The sequence below is a fragment of the Homo sapiens genome, chromosome 12 (genome assembly GCF_000001405.40).
Source record: "Homo sapiens chromosome 12, GRCh38.p14 Primary Assembly".
In the NCBI taxonomy this organism is placed as follows: domain Eukaryota; kingdom Metazoa; phylum Chordata; class Mammalia; order Primates; family Hominidae; genus Homo; species Homo sapiens.
Genome location: NC_000012.12, coordinates 629773 through 646579, shown reverse-complemented (window position 1 = coordinate 646579; position 16807 = coordinate 629773). Strand labels below are relative to the sequence as shown.

Sequence of the window (16807 nt, the reverse complement as noted above, 5' to 3'; positions counted from 1 at the left end):
AATGCCGCACCCTTCCTCTGTCCCTCTTTTTCTCTGGCTTTCACGGTGATCTACGTAATTTAATGCTCACCCACATTCCTTGTTGTGAACTGCCTTCACTAGGGTTGGGAAGGGGAGCAGGAATCTTGCAAAGCCCATGACCTAACCCGGTTGCTGCAAAGGAGTCTCTGTAAATGGGATCCTGGGCTGCTCCAGGCACTCACGGGCAGTGCCCTCCTGCCCCACAGAGCTTCCCTGCAGAGCTCTGTGCTTTCAGGCCCTCAAGGGGCAGTCCAAGAGGTGGACGCTCCTGTAAAAGCTGAGATTTCGCTTCACTGCGTAGGAGAAAAAAATATCCTGGGGGCTATGGAGTAGCCTGAAGAGGAGGCAGGTAGGATGGAGGGGAGCACAGGGTAGACAAGGCTTATCCTCAAGTTGCCACTAGTGTCCTCAAGGTCCAAGAAATCAGTACTGCCTGTGCTGTTTCCAGAATGCTAGTCACAGTAGTAGTGGCTGGCAGCGGGCTGTCCCTGTGAGATTGTGTGAGAGAATTAGGAAAAGAGAGAAACCCTGTTATTTTGTTTTCCATTCTCCATGTGACCTGCAGTATTTTTCCTCCTCCCATAAGAAGTCAGCTTCCTCCCTCGCCATCCCGATGTGACCTACTTATCTGCTCCCTTGAAAGGGAGGTACTCTGGAAGACATCCCAGTCGGGGGCGGTTCTGAGTCTCAGAAACAAGCTCTTTAATAAGGAAAATCCAGAAGCTATAAAACTGGGGGGCAAGGTATGAGGGAGGCTGGAAAACGTTGGAGAAGAAGGTAAATGGAGGCTAGTGGCGCCACAGCAGAGTATTCGGTGGTGTGCCATCAGCCCTCACAGCTGACTCATGCCATGACTAAGGGAAATTGGTCGTGGAGCCATCAAAGAGGGCAAATGTCAACTGCTGGAGAGAGTGCATGGACAGAAGTGCAAGCAAAATAAAGTCCAGCTCTTCCAGGTTGACCACTTTGTGCCCCTACTTCACAGAGCTGTGATCTAATCTCTGAGCCCTTTTCCTTATCTGCAAAATGAGGATAATAATTTTTATCTCAGAAGATTGATGAAAATACTAAATAATTTATTCTACCCTCTGTTACTTCCTAGAGAAAACTTAAGCAGATTTCAGAACAAAGGCACATAAATGATAACGGCTACCATTTATTTCTAAGTACCCACTCCATAAGAAGTCCTACATACATAGTTTTCTCACTTAATTCTGTGAGGAATCGATTATGCTCGTGTTACCAGTAAGGAATCCAAGGCCCAGAGAAGTTAAATCACTTGTGCAAAGTCACATAGCTAGCAAGCAGCAGAACTGAGGCCCGTACCCATGTCTGTCTGGCTCAAGGCATATACTGATTGACTGTAACATCATTTGCCTTCAAGGATTTGCCAAAAACCCTTGTCCCCAGATCTTAAGTAAATTTAGAATGCTGAGTCAGATTGGGGATGCAGGAATCAAAGAATAATTGGGTTATATAATGCTATGATTTTATGCTAATCTTGGCACTAAAGAGAGATTGTCTCGCAGTCTGGAAGACTGTAACTGCCTATCTGGTCTCTAGCCACTGGGCCTCCAGTCTGGCCTCCCTCCAATCCATTCTCCTCACTGTAGCCACAGAGAACATTCTCCTGCTTCTCTCAGTGGTTCCCAGCTGCCCTCAGGATTATATCCAAACCCACTGGGGCCAGGGCTTGGCCTGTTCTTAGTAGGCCCTACCCCGTTTTTAAAATCAAATGCATTAAAATATACCCGTATCGCTTACTAAATATGAATTCTATCATGTAAAATTTTTGAAACAATTCGTGATTTGAATTTTGGAATTATTAATTTAAAAGTTCACTTTTCCTATGTAGGTGTCAATAAATTTTTTTCAGGTCTCAAATACTTGGGACCTTCAGGAAGCCCATAGCCCCAAGTACTGTGCTTATAACGTCTAACGGTGAAACAGCCCCGTGTGCAGGCCCCGTCCCCCTGCCCTGTATGCCAGGCTTTCTGTAAATCCTTTTTCCTCTGCCTAGAACTTTGTTTCTGCACTGTACACTGCCCACACTATTCTCCCCTCCCTCCTTGCCCTGCAGTCTATTTATTTTGATGTAAGTTCATATATGCTTAACCTCTGTTTCCTCATCTGTAAAATGGGAATAGCAGTAGTATTTCATAGGATTATTAAGAAGATCGAGTTAGTTAATACACCAAAGCCTTTCTATACAAAGTATCCTGGGAGCTTGTTGGAAATGCAGAATCTCAGGCCGCACCCCAGAGGTACTGAATGAGAAACTGCATTTTACCAAGATCCGCTGCGATTCAGGCCCACATTTAGGTTTGAGGAACACTGCACTCACACACTGAGAACAATGTCTGTTACATAATAAGCACTCGATAAATGATGGCCAGTATTAAGGTGACGAAAGGTCAGGTTTTTACAGTTGTTTCCGGTTTTCCTTCTTGCCTTACTTTAACTTGCAGACTCTAGTTCAGTGGTACTCAATGGTGTTCCTGGGAAACTCTGGCCCCCTGGGAGCCGGCCCGTGGCACTTCCGCTAATGCTGAGGCAGCAATGAAGACCATGGTTCCTGCGCTCAGGTACCTTCACTCCATCTGCAGAGGGAGACAGACAAGGAAATGGGCAATTGCAATAGGTGATATTATAAGGGCTATGAAAACCGGAAGCAGAGGCGCTGGAGCACCCGGTGGGGTCAAGGAAAGTGTCATCTAAGACCTGAGCGATGAGCTGGTAGCTCAAGATTCCCCCCAAAAGTGGCAAAACAGTTTCTACTGGAAGAGTAGACTGACTGCTCCCATGATGTGAGGGGGGAGCGAGTTCCAGAAAAGATGTGACCTCTTGGCTGATGGCAGACTCGTTGCGGTGAGGCGTGGCTCAAACGACCGCCGCTAAGAACAAAACGTTGGCTTTGGCTTCGTTGCAAAGCAGCCGCTCGGTGGCCGTACAACGCTTCATCTCTCCGAGCCTCGGTTTCCTCATCTCCAGCCCTAAAATGACGACACGCCCCACAGGTCTTGGGAGGATTAAGTGAGGGGACATGAGGTACAGTTCCAGGGACAAAGCCGTGTTCCCGAATCGGGTCTTTCTTCCCTTCTCCCCTCCCTAGTTTGTGAGCCGCGTCGCGGCGGAGCGGATGTAGGCCCGAGGGCTGGCGCGACTGCAGCTGCGACCCTTTCCTCCGCGGACTCAGGAACGCCACCCTCCCCTCCCCACCCGGCGCGGGGCTGCGAGGCTGCGAGGCCGCGACGGTGCAGAGTCTCCAGACAGCCGCGCCGCCGGAGGGCAGGACAGGAGGGTCGCTGAGGGTCACAGGAGGGGCGCTGTGGGCCAGAAGAACGGGCCTGGGGTGCTCCTGGAGCCCTCGGTGGCCCCTGCTGGAGGCTTGGGCAGCGGCAGGGGGACAGAGCGGCGCAGGCAGCAGGGGAGCCGGGTCCCGAGGGGAAGGCGCCTGTCCTCGGGAGGTGAAGGTTCCTGCGCTCCGCAGGCGGCCGTAGCCCGCGGGCCGACTCGGGGGAATGGCAGGAATGCGCGGGCGCCGGGCGGAAGAGGCCGCGGCGGCCGGGCCAGCTGGGGAGGGAGGGCCGGGCCGGCGGGCGCGGCGTGGGGCGTGGGGGCGGCCGGGGCCCGGGAGCGCGAGGGCGCAGGGCCCGCGGAAGCCAGGTCAGCTGACGCGGGCGGGCGAGCCGGGCAGGGGAGCGGGGCCCCGAGCCCACTTCCCGCATCCGGTCTGCGGCGCGCTCGGGGCCCGGCTTTGGGCCCTGTCACGTGGCTTCATCTCTTCCTTCCCCCGCGGGAGGCCCAGGGCCGCCCTCACCTTTTCCCGGCTCAGAACTAGCCCCGCAGCTCCTTCACCTTCGTCTCCCCCGGATCCCCCACTCCCAGCCCGCCCCCCTCCGTGGGCAGCGCCGCCCGCTGCAGAGTCCGGGGAGCGCCAGTCTGGGCTATTTCGGTTCCTTTTTTCTCACGAGAGTCCTTGATTTCTGCTGAGTTTTCCCTGGGCTTCCCTTAGTTATTAATAATAATAGCGCCGGGCGCGGTGGCTCACGCCGGTAATTCCAGCACTTTGGCAGGCCGAGGCGGGGGGACCTGAGGTCAGGAGTTCAAGACCATCCTGGCCAGCATGGCGAAACCCCGTCTCTACTAAAAATACAAAAATTAGCCGGGCGTGGTGGCGGGCGCCTGTAGTCCCAGCTACCCTGGAGGCTGAGGCAGGAGGATCGCTTGAACTCGGGAGGCGGAGGGTGCAGTGAGCCGAGATCGCACCATTGCGCTCCAGCCTCAAAAACAAAAACAAACAAACAAACTACCACTTCTGGGCCCTTTGTACGAAGCAGGCATTTTGCATAGACTTTTTTTTCCTCTCTGATTTTTTAGGGCCACTGTGTAAGTATTATTAACCGCGACTCACAGATGAGAAAACTTGAAGTTCAGGAAAGTGAATGTGCTCAAGGTCACAGCTAGTCAATGGCTCAACCGGGATTCACATCTCAGGCTGTCAAACCGAAATACGGGCCCTTTCCCGCCTTCCACGCCCCAAGGGGAGGCCATGCCGGGACCATGTCGAAAGGTGGTGTTCCGCTAGATTCTACCCTAAAGCGGCATTGTCCTCAAAGACAGGTCTTTTCTGAGCCAGTCTAGGAAATGTCCTAGCTCCAGGGCAGTGTTAGAAGAGACTTCCCTTACAGCCTGCTTTTTTTTTTTTTTTTTTGAGACGGAGTCTCGCTCTGTCGCCCAGGCTGGAGTGCAGTGGCGCCATCTCGGCTCACTGCAACCTCCACCTCCCGGGTTCAAGCAATTCTCCTCCCTCAGCCTCCCGAGTAGATGGGACTACAGGCGCCCGCCACCACGCCCGGCTCATTTTTTGTATTTTTTAGTAGAGACGGGGTTTCACCCTGTTAGCCAGGATGGTCTCCATCTCCTGACCTTGTGATCCGCCTGCCTCGGCCTCCCAGAGTGCTGGCTGGGATTACAAGTGTGAGCCACCGCGCCCGGCCCTAGCCTGTTTCTTTAGCACAAGAGTCTTATCAGAGCTAGTGATCTGGAATTCTTTCCTGACTTCCAGGAGAAGCATTTTGATTTGGAGCACACTCCTCCCATCCTCATGGCCTCTCCCCACGCCTTTCACCCTGGGGAGAAAAGTAGGCTTTGCTTTTGTCCAGAGACTCTCCAACTGGAACCCACCTGCAGATCAAGGTAGACATCAACCTAGAGAATCTGCAAAGCAGGAGGTGGAGGGGGTTGGGTTGGGGGAGGGAAGGGAGACAGGAGGGGCAACTCAGTGCAGCCACTTTCCCATTCCCCCTTCCAAGTGGGAAGGTAGGGCTGTTCCAGAAGGGAGAAGCGGTAGTTTTGAAAACCAGTGAGCAGTCTGCACACGGAAGGCAGAATTTTTGTTCTGATGAGACATTAATAGGGCAATGGCTGGTTTTCATTATTTGAAAATAGTACAAGCACATTGTCAAATAATTTCACCTCATAAACATGGTTACATAAGAGAACAGCCTGAAAACCGCCTGGAGGACCCATACCTTAAGGACTCTAGACACAGGCAAGGCAAACAATTTATGAAGATCACTTCTAACCGCAGTCTCTTAAGTTGCAGCCTTCCTTCCATTCTTCCGGGACTGAAGTTAGGAGTGGTCTGTAACATTGGAGCCACAGTGGAGGGGTTGGAGTGGGGTGGTGGAATGGGGGTATGATTCTCCTTTTCTGTATGAGTAAACACAACACAAACAGAACAATTAAAAAAAAATGTGGCCTAGCACAATGATTCACACCTGTAATCCCAGCACTTTGGGAGGCCGAGGTGGGTAGATCACTTGAGGCCAGGAGTACAAGACCAGCCTGGACGACATAGTGAAGAGACAGGGTCTCTACTAAAAATACAGATATTAGCCCTACTTGGGATGCTGAGGCACGAGACTCACTTGAACCCTAGAGGCTGAGGTTGCAGTGAGCCCATATCACACCACTACACTCCAGCCTGGGTGACAGGGCAAGACTCAGTCTCAAAAATAAAACAAAATAAAATAAAAACAGGACCATTAAGAAGAAAGGAGGAATAGAAGTCAAGTACCAGGGATGAATTAATGACTGTAGTTGGGACTAAAGGCCCTGCTGTCATTGAAAGGGAGGTCTGAATGAATTGTATTGAAAGAACTACACTTTAACTTTGCTCAGGCAAGGAGCCCGCAGGCCTACCTTTTTTTTAAAGCTTCAGTTGCCACATTTGTAAAACAAGGACTTTGGATATGATGGTTCTTAAACTGCCTCCAAGTTTGGAAACTTCTGATTCTAAGATGCCAAGATATTTTCATTAAGTGATGCCCAGTTCTTCCATCTCAATACCTTGGTAATCATGTGACTGACTGCTCAGCTTTCCTGCTTTTGTGAGATCATTACTGCCAGTTCCAGTGTATTTGGCTGCTAGAGAGCAAACATTCCGTGTGTGAACTGGGGATACATATTGCTGTGACAGTAGGTCTGGCACATTGGAGGGACGCTGACTTAACCTGAAACAGCACTAAACACCGTGTCATCTCCAATACACTATTCGGGGGCCTGGGCCTGGGCAAGGCCTCCTAATTTGCTTTTAGATGGCATCAATCTTCATTCCTTCGGCCTTTGAAGAGCCAAGAATCAGAATCCTAGGAACCTTATACTTTGTACCTATGTTTCTATAAAAGTTAGCGGGTCTACCCCTGCCGGTTTCAATCAGGTGGGATTTGTTACACCTGGACCATCATTAGCCAGCTTAATAGCTGGAGCTGTACTTGATATGATCTAGGGTTGGGGCTGGAACCCGTCCTCAGGAGGCACTTGCTGGGGAGATCTATGTATATCACTTGACTAACACAGTCATAGCAAATGGTCATGTTCTCTCAGTAGCAGCCCACACATAGTTTCCAGAAGGCATCAGTAGCTCCTTATAGGTACCTCAAACCTACAAGTCCATAAACGGAGCCATAGGTTAGGGTGGCAATGGGGACTTTTTTTTCTTTTCTGTTCATTCTTACACAGCATTCTGAGTGCCATCCATCACTGAGGCATACACAAAATAGAAAAAAAGAAGAGCACCTTCAACATAGAGGTTAAGGACACAGGCTCCTGAGCTAGACTGTCCAGGCTTGAATCCTGGGTCTGCCACCTCCTTGCTGTGCTGTCTGACCTAGGGCAAGTTACTTCACCTCTCTGTGCCTCAGTGTCTTATAAGACTATTGTGAGGGTTAAATGAGTTAATTCATGTAAAGCACTATGAGCAATGACAGCCCCATATAAGTGTGACTAGTATTGTGGCAAGTCCTATGGCAACTGACTTAGACATTTATTTAACATTAACTACAGTTCTTTTTGAAAGGGAAAATACAGGAAATTACTGAGTTCTGCCACACGAGATTGTAACAAATGTCTGCGACTAGGGGTAGTAGGAGGAAGGAAATAAACGGATGGACCAGGCCCTTGTTTCTTTTACTTCCTTCTACATAGAGGGTTTTGTACTGTGCCTGATTGCTTTAATTTTCAGGGGCAAAATAATATGAATTGGAAATCTCTCCATGTCAGAATATATAGATCCACCTTATTATTTTTAACAGTTGCAGAGTATTACTTACTATGGATATACACTAGGTTATTTACATCCTCCCATATACCGATTGATACTGATGTAATGTTCGCTGTGTACTGGATGTGGGAGGGAACATAGGTGCTAAAGCAGGGTGGAGCATGGTTCCCGAGAGGTTTGTAATTTTGTGGGGGAATTCAAGAATTACATAAAATAAGTGGAAACCAGTACAAGAACCTGTGTATAAAATATTAAACTGGATTTAAAACTAAGTGTCGGCCGGGCGCGGTGGCTCACGCCTGTAATCCCAGCACTTTGGGAGGCCGAGGCGGGCGGATCACGAGGTCAGGACATCAAGACCATCATGGCTAACACGGTGAAACCCCGTCTCTACTAAAAATACAAAAAATTAGCCAGGCGTGGTGGCGGGCGCCTGTAGTCCCAGCCATTTGGGAGGCTGAGGCAGGAGAATGGCGTGAACCTGGGAGGCGGAGCTTGTAGTGAGCCGAGATTGCGCCACTGCACTCCAGCCTGGGTGACAGAGCGAGACTCCGTCTCAAAACAAACAAACAAAAAACTAAATGTCAGTGCTAGTGTAATACTCAGTGGTGGGTGAAAAGATCGGATTTAATAGGAAATAACAACACAACGTATGCATATATTGGAGCGATGGGCCTGGCTCCTGGAACCCTGGCTGGAGTAGAGAGGAAATTTACCTTCTAGTTCTTCCAGCCTCCCTGAAAAATTACTCAACACAAGAAGGACAAGTCTACACTCCCTTAACAAGCTACAACACAGGAGCACACAGGTGTCTCTGCAGGAGGTGGAATGCAGCAGGCCTAGGTGCTCTCCTGCAACTGGCTTAGCATGTGGGCAGCACCTTCCTCCTAAAGCATAGGGGTGCAGGGGAGAGTTCCCACTCCCACCTTCTGGTAGAGGCCTTTGTTGTTTTCCAGTGTTGTTTTCCCTGAAGCACAAATGGTGCTGGTCCTTCAAGGTACAGTGACTCTGCTGAAGGAGCTGGAATGAGAACTCCCTTTTTTTGAGGTCCTTAATCCTTTGGCCCTGATTCCTTGGGAAGAACTCACAGGGTTGTGAGAACAGTTGCCCCATAGGGCCGAGGTGGGGACATTCTGTGCCTAGGTATTCATAAGCCAAGGCTGTATTTCTTTTACCCCACCCGTAAGCACTAATCACTAACCTAAACCAGCAACACCTGGTTGCCACAGGGAATTGGGTTGTGTCAAAGCCCACACTTAGCATTCCTTCTGCAAGGCCCTACCCAATGGCATTTGGGGTACATTAATTGGGGTAAAGGTTTTTCTTTTTCTTTTTCTTTTTTTTTTTTTTTGAGATGGAGTCTCACTCTGTCGCCTAGGCTGGAGTGCAGTGGTACAATCTTGGCTCACTGCAACCTCTGCCTCTAGGGTTCAAGCGATTCTCCTGCCTCAGCCTCCCGAGTAGCTGGGATTTCAGGTGCCTGCCACCATGCCCAGCTAATTTTTGTATTTTTAGTAGAGACGGGGGTTTCACCGTGTTGGCCAGGCTGGTTGTGAACTCCTGACCTCGTGATCTGCCTGCCTCGGCCTCCCAAAGTGCTGGGATTACAACCTTGAGCCACCATGCCCAGCCTTCTTTTTTTTGAGATGAAGTCTCGCTCTGTCGCCCAGGCTGGAGTGCAGTGGCACAATCTTGGCTCACTGCAACCCCCACCTCCCAGATTCAAGCAATTCTCCTGCCTCAGCCTCCTGAGCAGCTAGGATTACAGGAGTGCACCACCACGCCTGGCTAATTTTTGTATTTTTAGTAGAGACGGGGTTTTACCATGTTGGCCAGGCTGGTCTTGAACTCCTGACCTTGTGATCTGCCAGCCTGGGCCTCCCAAAGTGCTGGGATTACAGGTGTGAGCCACTGTGCCTGGCCAGAATTTCCTTCCTTTCTAGCCTGAAAAATATTCCATTGTATGAATATATCGCATTTGGTTATCCATTCATCTGCTGATGGACACTGGCTTGTTTCTTTTCGCCGTTGTGAACATGCTGCCATTAACATTGGTGTATAGGTATCTGAGTCCTTTCTTTCAGTTTTTTGGGGTACACACCTAGGAATGAAATTGCTAAGTCATATGGTAATTCTCTAACTTTTTGAGGAACTGCCAAGCTGTTTTCCACAGTGGCTGCTGGCTGCATCATTTACGTTCTCACCAGTCATGCATGAGAATTTCAGTTTCTCTGTATCCTTACCAAAACTTGCTTTTTTTTCTTTCTTCTTTCATTTTTTTCAAATAGTCATCCTAACAGGTAAGAAGTTGTATCTCATTTTGTTTTGATTTGTATTTGTCTAATGACTGGTGACATTGAGCCTTTTTTCATGAAGCTTGTTGGCCATTTGTGTGTCTTCTTTGGAGAAATGTCTACCCTAGTTCCTTCTCCTTTTTTGAATTGAGTTGTTTGGTTTTCTCGCTGTTAAGTTGTAGGAGTTCTTTATCTATTCTGGATATTAATTCCTTAACAGAAATATGGTTTACAAATATTTTCTCCCATTCTGTAGGTTGTCTTTTCACTCTTTTATTTTTTAATTTTTATTTATTTATCTATTTATTTATTTATTTATTTGAGATGGAGTTTTGCTCTTGTTGCCCAGGCTGGAGTGCAATGGCATGATCTCAGCTCACCACAACCTCTGCCTCCCAGGTTCAAGTGATTCTTCTGCCTCAGCCTCCCGAGTAGCTTGGATTACAGGCACGTGCCACCACGCCTGGCTAATTTTGTGTTTTTAGTAGAGACGGGGTTTCTCCATGTTGGTCAGGCTGGCCTCGAACTCCCGACCTAAGGTAATCCACCCGCCTCGGCCTCCCAAAGTGCTAGGATTACAGGCGTAAGCCACCACGCCTGGCCTATTTATTTATTTATTTTTATACAGAGTCTCGCTCTGTTGCCCGGGCTGGCGTGCAGTGGCACACTCTTGGCTCACTGCAACCTCTGCGTCCCAGGCTCAAGCGATTCTCCTGCCTCAGCCTCCTGAGTAGCTGGGATTACAGGCACCTGCCACCATGCTCGGCTAATTTTTTTGTGTTTTTATTAGAGACAGCGTTTTACCATGTTGGCCAGGCTGGTCTCGAACTCCTGACCTCAGATGATCTGCCCGCCTCGGCCTCCCGAAGTGCTGGGATTACAGGCGTGAACCGCCGCGCCCGGCCCCTTTTCACTCTTTTAATAGTGTCCTTTGGTGCGCAAGTTCTGTATTTTGATGAAATCTAATTTATCTGTTTTTTTCTTTTGTTGCCTGCAATTTTGCTGTCATATTCTAGAAATCATTGTGAAGTCCAATGTCATGAAGATTTTTCCCCGTGTTTTCTTGTAAGAGTTTTACAGTGTTAACTCTCAAGTTTAGGTCTTTGGTTCATTTTGAGTTAGTTTCTGTATATGGCATAAGGTAAGGGTCCAGTTTCATTCTTTTGTATGTGGGACTATCCAGTTTTTCCAGCACCATTTACTGAAAAGATTATCCTTTCCCCATTGAGTGGTCTTGGAAGCCTTGCTGAAAATCAGTTTACCATATAGGCAAGGGTTTATTTTGGGGCTCTATTCTATTCCACTGGTCTATATGTCTGCTCTATTGCATTTAAAGAAGTATACAGGGGCCAGGCCTGGTGGCTCATGCCTGTAATCCTAGCACTTTGGGAGGCCGAGGCAGGCAGATCACCTGAGGTCAGGAGTTCAAGACCAGCCTGGCCAACATGGCGAAACCCTGTTTCTACTAAAAATACAAAATTTAGGATGTGGTGGCACGTGCCAGTAATCCCAGCTACTCAGGAGGCTGAGGCAGGAGGATCACTTGAACCGGGGAGGCGGAGGTTGCAGTGAGCCAAGATCATGCCATTGCACTCCAGCCTAGGCAACAAGAGCAAAACTCCGTCTCAAAAAAAAAAAAAAAAAGTATATGGGGACTGGGTGTAGTGATTGACACCTGTAATCCCAGCACTTTGGCAGGCCGATGGGGAAGGATTAGCCTGAGACCAAGAATTCTAGACTGGCCTGGGCAACATGACCAGCTCCTGTCTCTATTTTTTAAAAAAGAAGTGTATGGTTTCTTCCAACCTCTTGTACTTATACCATTCCCTCAAAGAGAAAGAGAATTAAGAGGAAATGTCTTAAACACAAAGGAATTTAATGTTATGGTGCCCTGGGTCTGAATGCTCTGAAGAGGGCAACATTCTGGAGGTGCCAATTTTCAGATGAGCATTTAAAATGTCAGCGTTGGGCAAACATTTTATTTTGTCTTGAACTCATCCCCCCTTAATATCTTGGGTACGACCATTCTCTACATTTTCTCTCTGTGCTACTAAACTTAGAGGATGCAAGTCAGGATTGGGAGGAGACTGATTTTGTGTGTGTTTGGCCTTTACTGCAGAAGAAAAAGAACTGCAACTAGGCCGGGCGCGGTGGCCCATGCCTGTAATCCCAGCACTTTAGGAGGCCGAAGCAGGCGGATCACGAGGTCAGAAGTTCAAGACCATTCTGGCCAACATGGTGAAATTCCGTCTCTACTAAAAATACAAAAAATTAGCCGGCTGTGGTGGTGGGCGCCAGTAATCCCAGCTACTAGGGGGGCTGAGGCAGGAGAATCGTGTGAACCTGGGAGGCGGAGGTTGCAGTGAGCCGAGATCGTGCCATTGTACTCCAGCCCGGGAGACAGTGCAAAAAAAAAAAAAAAAAAAAAAAAAGAACTGCAACTAATCAACATTTATTTAGTGAGCACAACTTATGTGAGGCACTATAACTTACATAAGTTGTGCTGAACTCATGGTGGCTTATAGTCTATTGGGGGAGGTATATATATCAAGGCGTGACTTGGTAATTACTTGGAGAAGGAGAAATGCAAACTGAAGTAGTTGGCCAAATATCCTAAGGTAGGGTCTTTTGGTTTTGTTAAAGAAGAATAAATTCAGATTCAGGAATGAATGTGGAGAAAACTGGGAATGAAACAGGCAGGAATGAGTAAGCTATCTGGGACAGTGCAAAGGCCTTTCTGACCAGATCAGACGGTGTGTGTGGGGGAAAGCACAACTGGATAGGTGGGGTGGGGCCGAATTATGGGGGATTTTTAAATAACCAGGCAAAGGAATGTGTACTTGATTTAGCAGACAGTGGAAAACTCTAAAGTGGTTTGTTTTTTTTACACAATCTCACTCTGTTACCCAGGATAGAGTGCAGTGGGGCAGTCTTGGCTCACTGCAACCTCCACCTCCTGGGTTCAAATGATTCTCCTGCCTCAGCCTCCTGAGTAGCTGGGACTACAGGCATGTGGCACCACGCTCAGCTAATTTTTGTATTTTAGTAGAGACGGGATTTTGCCGTGTTGGCCAGGCTGGTCTTGAACTCCTGGCCTCAAGTGATCTGCCTGCCTCAGCCTCCCAAAGTGCTGGGATTACGGGCATGGGCCACTGGGCCCAGCCTCAGAAGTTTTTAAATGACATGATTTTTTTTTTTTGGAGACAGTCTCTTTCTGTTGCCCAGGCTGGAATGCAGTGGCACCATCTCGGCTCACTGCAGCGTCCACCTCCTGGTGGAACCAGTGATTCGCCTGCCTCAGCAACCCGGGTAGCTGGGATTACAGGCACGTGCCACCATGTCTGGCTAATTTTTGTATTTTTAGTAGAGACAGGGTTTCACCATGTTGGCCAAGTTGGTCTTGAACTGCTGACTTCAGGTGATCCATCCACCTCGGCCTCCCAAAGAGCTAGGATTACAGGTGTGAGCCACCGCGCCCGGCCTTGTTTTTTTTTAATGGAGGAGTGGGGCACAGTTTTAGGGAGGTTGGTTCAGGAAGGGATGCAAGATAGATTAGAGGGCAGGAATTGATTCAGTTCTCAGAGAACTTCCCTGGAAAAGAAAGTCCTAGATCTTTGCCCCAAGCCCAATGCCAGGCTGAGGTATATTTCACGACCTTTCTGATTGAAATCTACTGACAGAAAATACACTGGATCTAAGATCTTGTGAGATCTTGCCCAAGCTCAACCCGGCCCACTAACCTTTTGTGTTCATGGCATGAAATGCCCACACTTGGTTCTGGTTTGGGCTGGCACCCTCCCCGGCTTGCTTCACTGTGGTGCGATGTTTCCAAAGCTTCCACACTCCAGAAAGGGCTATAACTTCAGTTTCCTCATTTTTACAAAAGGTCAAGTTTTCAAAAGCTTAGATCCGCTGGGATTTGTCTATGTTGATGAAGATACATGAAAACTGGGGGACATTGCAGTTGACCTTTAGAACCCTCTCTCCACCCCCACCCCCATCTCCATTACCCCAGAGCTAAGCCTCCTCAGGACCTAGTACTTCTCTTCATTCAGTGTTTTCTCACACTGCTGAAAATTACCTGTGACTCATACAAGTGGTTCAAGCTGCTCAGTCCCAGACAGGAATGTTGAGTCTTGCCAGCTGACATGTTGGGGTCACAAGAAAGAGAGAGCAAGTGTCCTGTGGGCTGGAATCAGGGGAGATGCACAGACACCCTGTGAACATTCCAGAGTGCAGGGCTGAAGAATGGCCTGAATGGAGCCGTTAGGCTGATTTCCCTGTGGTCAGAGGCTAGCTGCAATTTTACCCTCCCTTCCCTGCCCAAACACTCCTGACACTGGAATTTCATCAAACGGCTACCGTGTTTGGTTTTCAACCAGGACAAACAAAGAAAAGAGATTTGTTTTCCTGTCTGCTTTTGCTGAATGGAATCTCTGATTCTACTTACCAGCGTGCCTCAGACACCCTGGGGCTGGTTAGGACTTTAAGCACACAGGAATCTCAGCTTTACTCAATCTTTTTCCATATCCTGAGCCCGAGTTCAGACTTCATCCTCCCGGGTCCCCCATGTCCCTTCAACGTCTGATTAATTCTCCAGTCAACTCCCTGCTAATAGTCCACCCACAAATTGCTATTTCAGCTGACCTTCCCCAAAACTTGAGCATCCTTACCAAATACCTTGGGCTTCCTCATAACCTGGTTATCTTCTCATCTGCATGCCTTTCTGGAATAATTTTGAAGTATTAAAAAAAACTCCTCTAATTGTCAAGGGCATGCAGGAAGCTCAGCCCCTAAGGAGCATTGCAGAAATCTGGAGTTCTACTCTGTTTATACCTAAATCTAGCCTTCCAGGAGTTTCAGATAGTTTCCTGGAAACATTTTGTGCTTTGTGTTTTTCACCTTTCTCTCTTAATTGAATATGGGGTGAGGAGCAAGAAAGGGGATTGTGAATTACAATTACAAACAGTACACACATAACACAGGGACAATCTTTGCATTTCTCATTTCTGATCCCAGGGATCAGAGGTAGAGGCAGGCCAGGCGCGGTGGCTCACGCCTGTAATCCCAGCACTTTGGAGGCCGAGGCAGGCGGATCACGAGGTCAAGAGATAGAAACCATCCTGGCCAACATGGTGAAACCCCGTCTGTACTAAAAATATAAAAATTAGCTGGGCGTGGTGGCGCGCGCCTGTACTCCCAGCTACTCGGGAGGCTGAGGCAGCAGAATCGCTTGAGCCCGGGAGGCGGAGGTTGCATTGAGCAGAGATCACGCCACTGCACTCCCGCCTGGTGACAGAGGGAGACTCCGTCTCAAAATAAATAAATAAATAAATAAAAATTTAACAAAAAAAGGTAGAGGCAGCTCTCAGGTGAGTAAATTCGCAGATGCCCACGCATGTCTGGAACATACCCCAGGGGTCATTAGAGACTGCCCAGCAGAGGCGGGAGGATCTTCCGTTTGCTTTTCCTTCAGAACGTTTGTCCGGAGAGCATCCTGTTCTGTTATATGCATATCCACCTCCGTCTCCAAATTACTAGGTTGAGCACAGTGCTCAGTGCCTGGCATTGAGTTAGAAATAGAAAATGAGCTGGCGAGTCCCGGCCCGAGGCTGTGACAGGGGCCATTACTGAGCCCACTCCCCACCAACCTTTCTGCGGTTTAACTGACTCTCCTCCTTCCCCTCCAGATCCCAAGGGCTTGACTCCTACCTCCTCTAAGGCATTTTGAAAAGTTTGCAAATGCACCCTTGATCCTAGCACGTACTTAAGAAGCGGCTCCCCCCTAGAACGTCAGGCTTGAAGCTGACCCCTTCTTCCTCCTCCCGCGCCATTTGGGTCTGTGCGCAGGGCCGGAAGCCTGCTGGGGAGGGGCACGAGGCCGGGCTGGGGCCTCTCCGGAGGGAGCCCGCCGCCCCGCCCAGGGCGCACGCACCCAGCCTCTGAGGGAGGAAGCTGAATGGGGCCAGAGGCTGGCCCTCTTTGGGGATTTGCATTATACAGGCTGTATTTAGAAGCAGCGGCGGGGAGCGGTGGCTCACGCCTGTGATCCCAGCATTTTGGGGGGCCGAGGCGGGCAGATCACCTGAGGCCAGGAGTTCGAGACCAGCCTGTCAACATGGTGAAACTCCGTCTGTGCTAAAAATACAAAAAAAATTAGCCAGGCGTGGTGGCCGGAGCCTGCAGTCCCAGCTACTCGGGAGGCTGAGGCAGGAGAATCGCTTGAACCCGGGAGATGGAGCTTGCAGTGAGCCGAGATCACACCACTGCACTCCAGCCTGGGCAACTCAGCGAGACTCCGTCTCAAAAAACAAAACAAAACAAAACAAAACAAAAAACCAAGAAAAAGAGAATAAAAAAAAATAGAAGCAGCTTTCTTGCTGATAGAAAGCAATGACCCTCTCTGCTATAATTACAACTGAAGAGTCACTTTCTTTCAAAAACTCTATTTTCAGATGTTTACCACTTTCTTTAAAAAGGAAAAAAAATTTGCCTCAAAGGCAGGCAGTCCCCAGGGCATTTCTGGTCTCCTGGGGAAGGAACCTAAGAGCGGTTTGGTAAAATTCCATTTTGCTATCTTGGCGTTACCTAAGGGCAAGAACTGAGGTGGGGCTTTGGTGACAGCAGGGGCTGAAGAGTGCTCTTTTTCATCATCCAGGGTGTCCAATTGTTTTGTTTCCCTGGGCCACATTGGAAGAATTGTCTTGCCCCACACATAAAATACAGCAACACTAACAATGGCTGATACACTTTTAAAAAATCGCAAAGAAACTTCATATATATATATATATATATATATATTTTTTTTTTTTTTTTGAGTTTTGCTCTTGTCGCCGAGGCTGGAGTGCAACGGCACGATCTCGGCTCACCACAACCTCTGCCTCCCAGGTTCAAGTGATTCTCCTGCCTCAGTCTCCTGAGTAGC

The 16807-nt window shown here is 48.8% G+C and overlaps 1 protein-coding gene and 1 long non-coding RNA gene across 5 annotated transcripts in view, besides 8 other annotated features; one reads left to right on the top strand and one right to left on the bottom strand.

Moving 5' to 3' along the window:
- NINJ2 (ninjurin 2) overlaps positions 1-16807 on the top strand; it is a 99150-nt gene that overhangs the window by 16866 nt on the left and 65477 nt on the right. For 2 of the 4 annotated variants that reach the window (NR_160428.1, NM_001294346.2), the window contains exon 1: positions 2944-3069. The exons of 1 other annotated variant lie outside the window; for it this stretch is intronic. The gene's annotated coding sequence lies outside the window, so the exon portion shown is untranslated. Of the gene's footprint in view, positions 1-2943; positions 3070-5089; positions 5221-16807 lie in introns of those variants that run through there. One more of the 4 variants, NM_001367996.1, reaches the window with a different exon arrangement.
- Positions 16-1215: an enhancer, noted in NCBI's record as "MED14-independent group 3 enhancer chr12:754531-755730 (GRCh37/hg19 assembly coordinates)". NCBI's record gives its function as "activates an origin of replication core promoter dependent on BRD2, BRD4, P300/CBP and CDK7 cofactors, and independent of MED14, by STARR-seq in HCT116 cells {active_cell/tissue: HCT116}" and the evidence as "EXISTENCE:reporter gene assay evidence [ECO:0000049][PMID:35650434]".
- NINJ2-AS1 (NINJ2 antisense RNA 1) lies at positions 702-15689 on the bottom strand. The gene is made up of 5 exons (NR_122124.1): positions 15595-15689; positions 14333-14366; positions 13964-14071; positions 5556-5736; positions 702-2621 (listed from the first exon to the last, which is right to left on the bottom strand). It is a non-coding gene; the product is annotated as an NINJ2 antisense RNA 1 (long non-coding RNA).
- Positions 3258-3307: a silencer, noted in NCBI's record as "silent region_4105". NCBI's record gives its function as "represses an Ori minimal core promoter by ATAC-STARR-seq in GM12878 lymphoblastoid cells {active_cell/tissue: GM12878}" and the evidence as "EXISTENCE:reporter gene assay evidence [ECO:0000049][PMID:35858748]".
- Positions 3398-3987: a silencer, noted in NCBI's record as "silent region_4104". NCBI's record gives its function as "represses an Ori minimal core promoter by ATAC-STARR-seq in GM12878 lymphoblastoid cells {active_cell/tissue: GM12878}" and the evidence as "EXISTENCE:reporter gene assay evidence [ECO:0000049][PMID:35858748]".
- Positions 6631-6680: an enhancer, noted in NCBI's record as "active region_5781". NCBI's record gives its function as "activates an Ori minimal core promoter by ATAC-STARR-seq in GM12878 lymphoblastoid cells {active_cell/tissue: GM12878}" and the evidence as "EXISTENCE:reporter gene assay evidence [ECO:0000049][PMID:35858748]".
- Positions 6721-6790: an enhancer, noted in NCBI's record as "active region_5780". NCBI's record gives its function as "activates an Ori minimal core promoter by ATAC-STARR-seq in GM12878 lymphoblastoid cells {active_cell/tissue: GM12878}" and the evidence as "EXISTENCE:reporter gene assay evidence [ECO:0000049][PMID:35858748]".
- Positions 6981-7160: an enhancer, noted in NCBI's record as "active region_5779". NCBI's record gives its function as "activates an Ori minimal core promoter by ATAC-STARR-seq in GM12878 lymphoblastoid cells {active_cell/tissue: GM12878}" and the evidence as "EXISTENCE:reporter gene assay evidence [ECO:0000049][PMID:35858748]".
- Positions 15664-15763: a silencer, noted in NCBI's record as "silent region_4103". NCBI's record gives its function as "represses an Ori minimal core promoter by ATAC-STARR-seq in GM12878 lymphoblastoid cells {active_cell/tissue: GM12878}" and the evidence as "EXISTENCE:reporter gene assay evidence [ECO:0000049][PMID:35858748]".
- Positions 15824-15903: a silencer, noted in NCBI's record as "silent region_4102". NCBI's record gives its function as "represses an Ori minimal core promoter by ATAC-STARR-seq in GM12878 lymphoblastoid cells {active_cell/tissue: GM12878}" and the evidence as "EXISTENCE:reporter gene assay evidence [ECO:0000049][PMID:35858748]".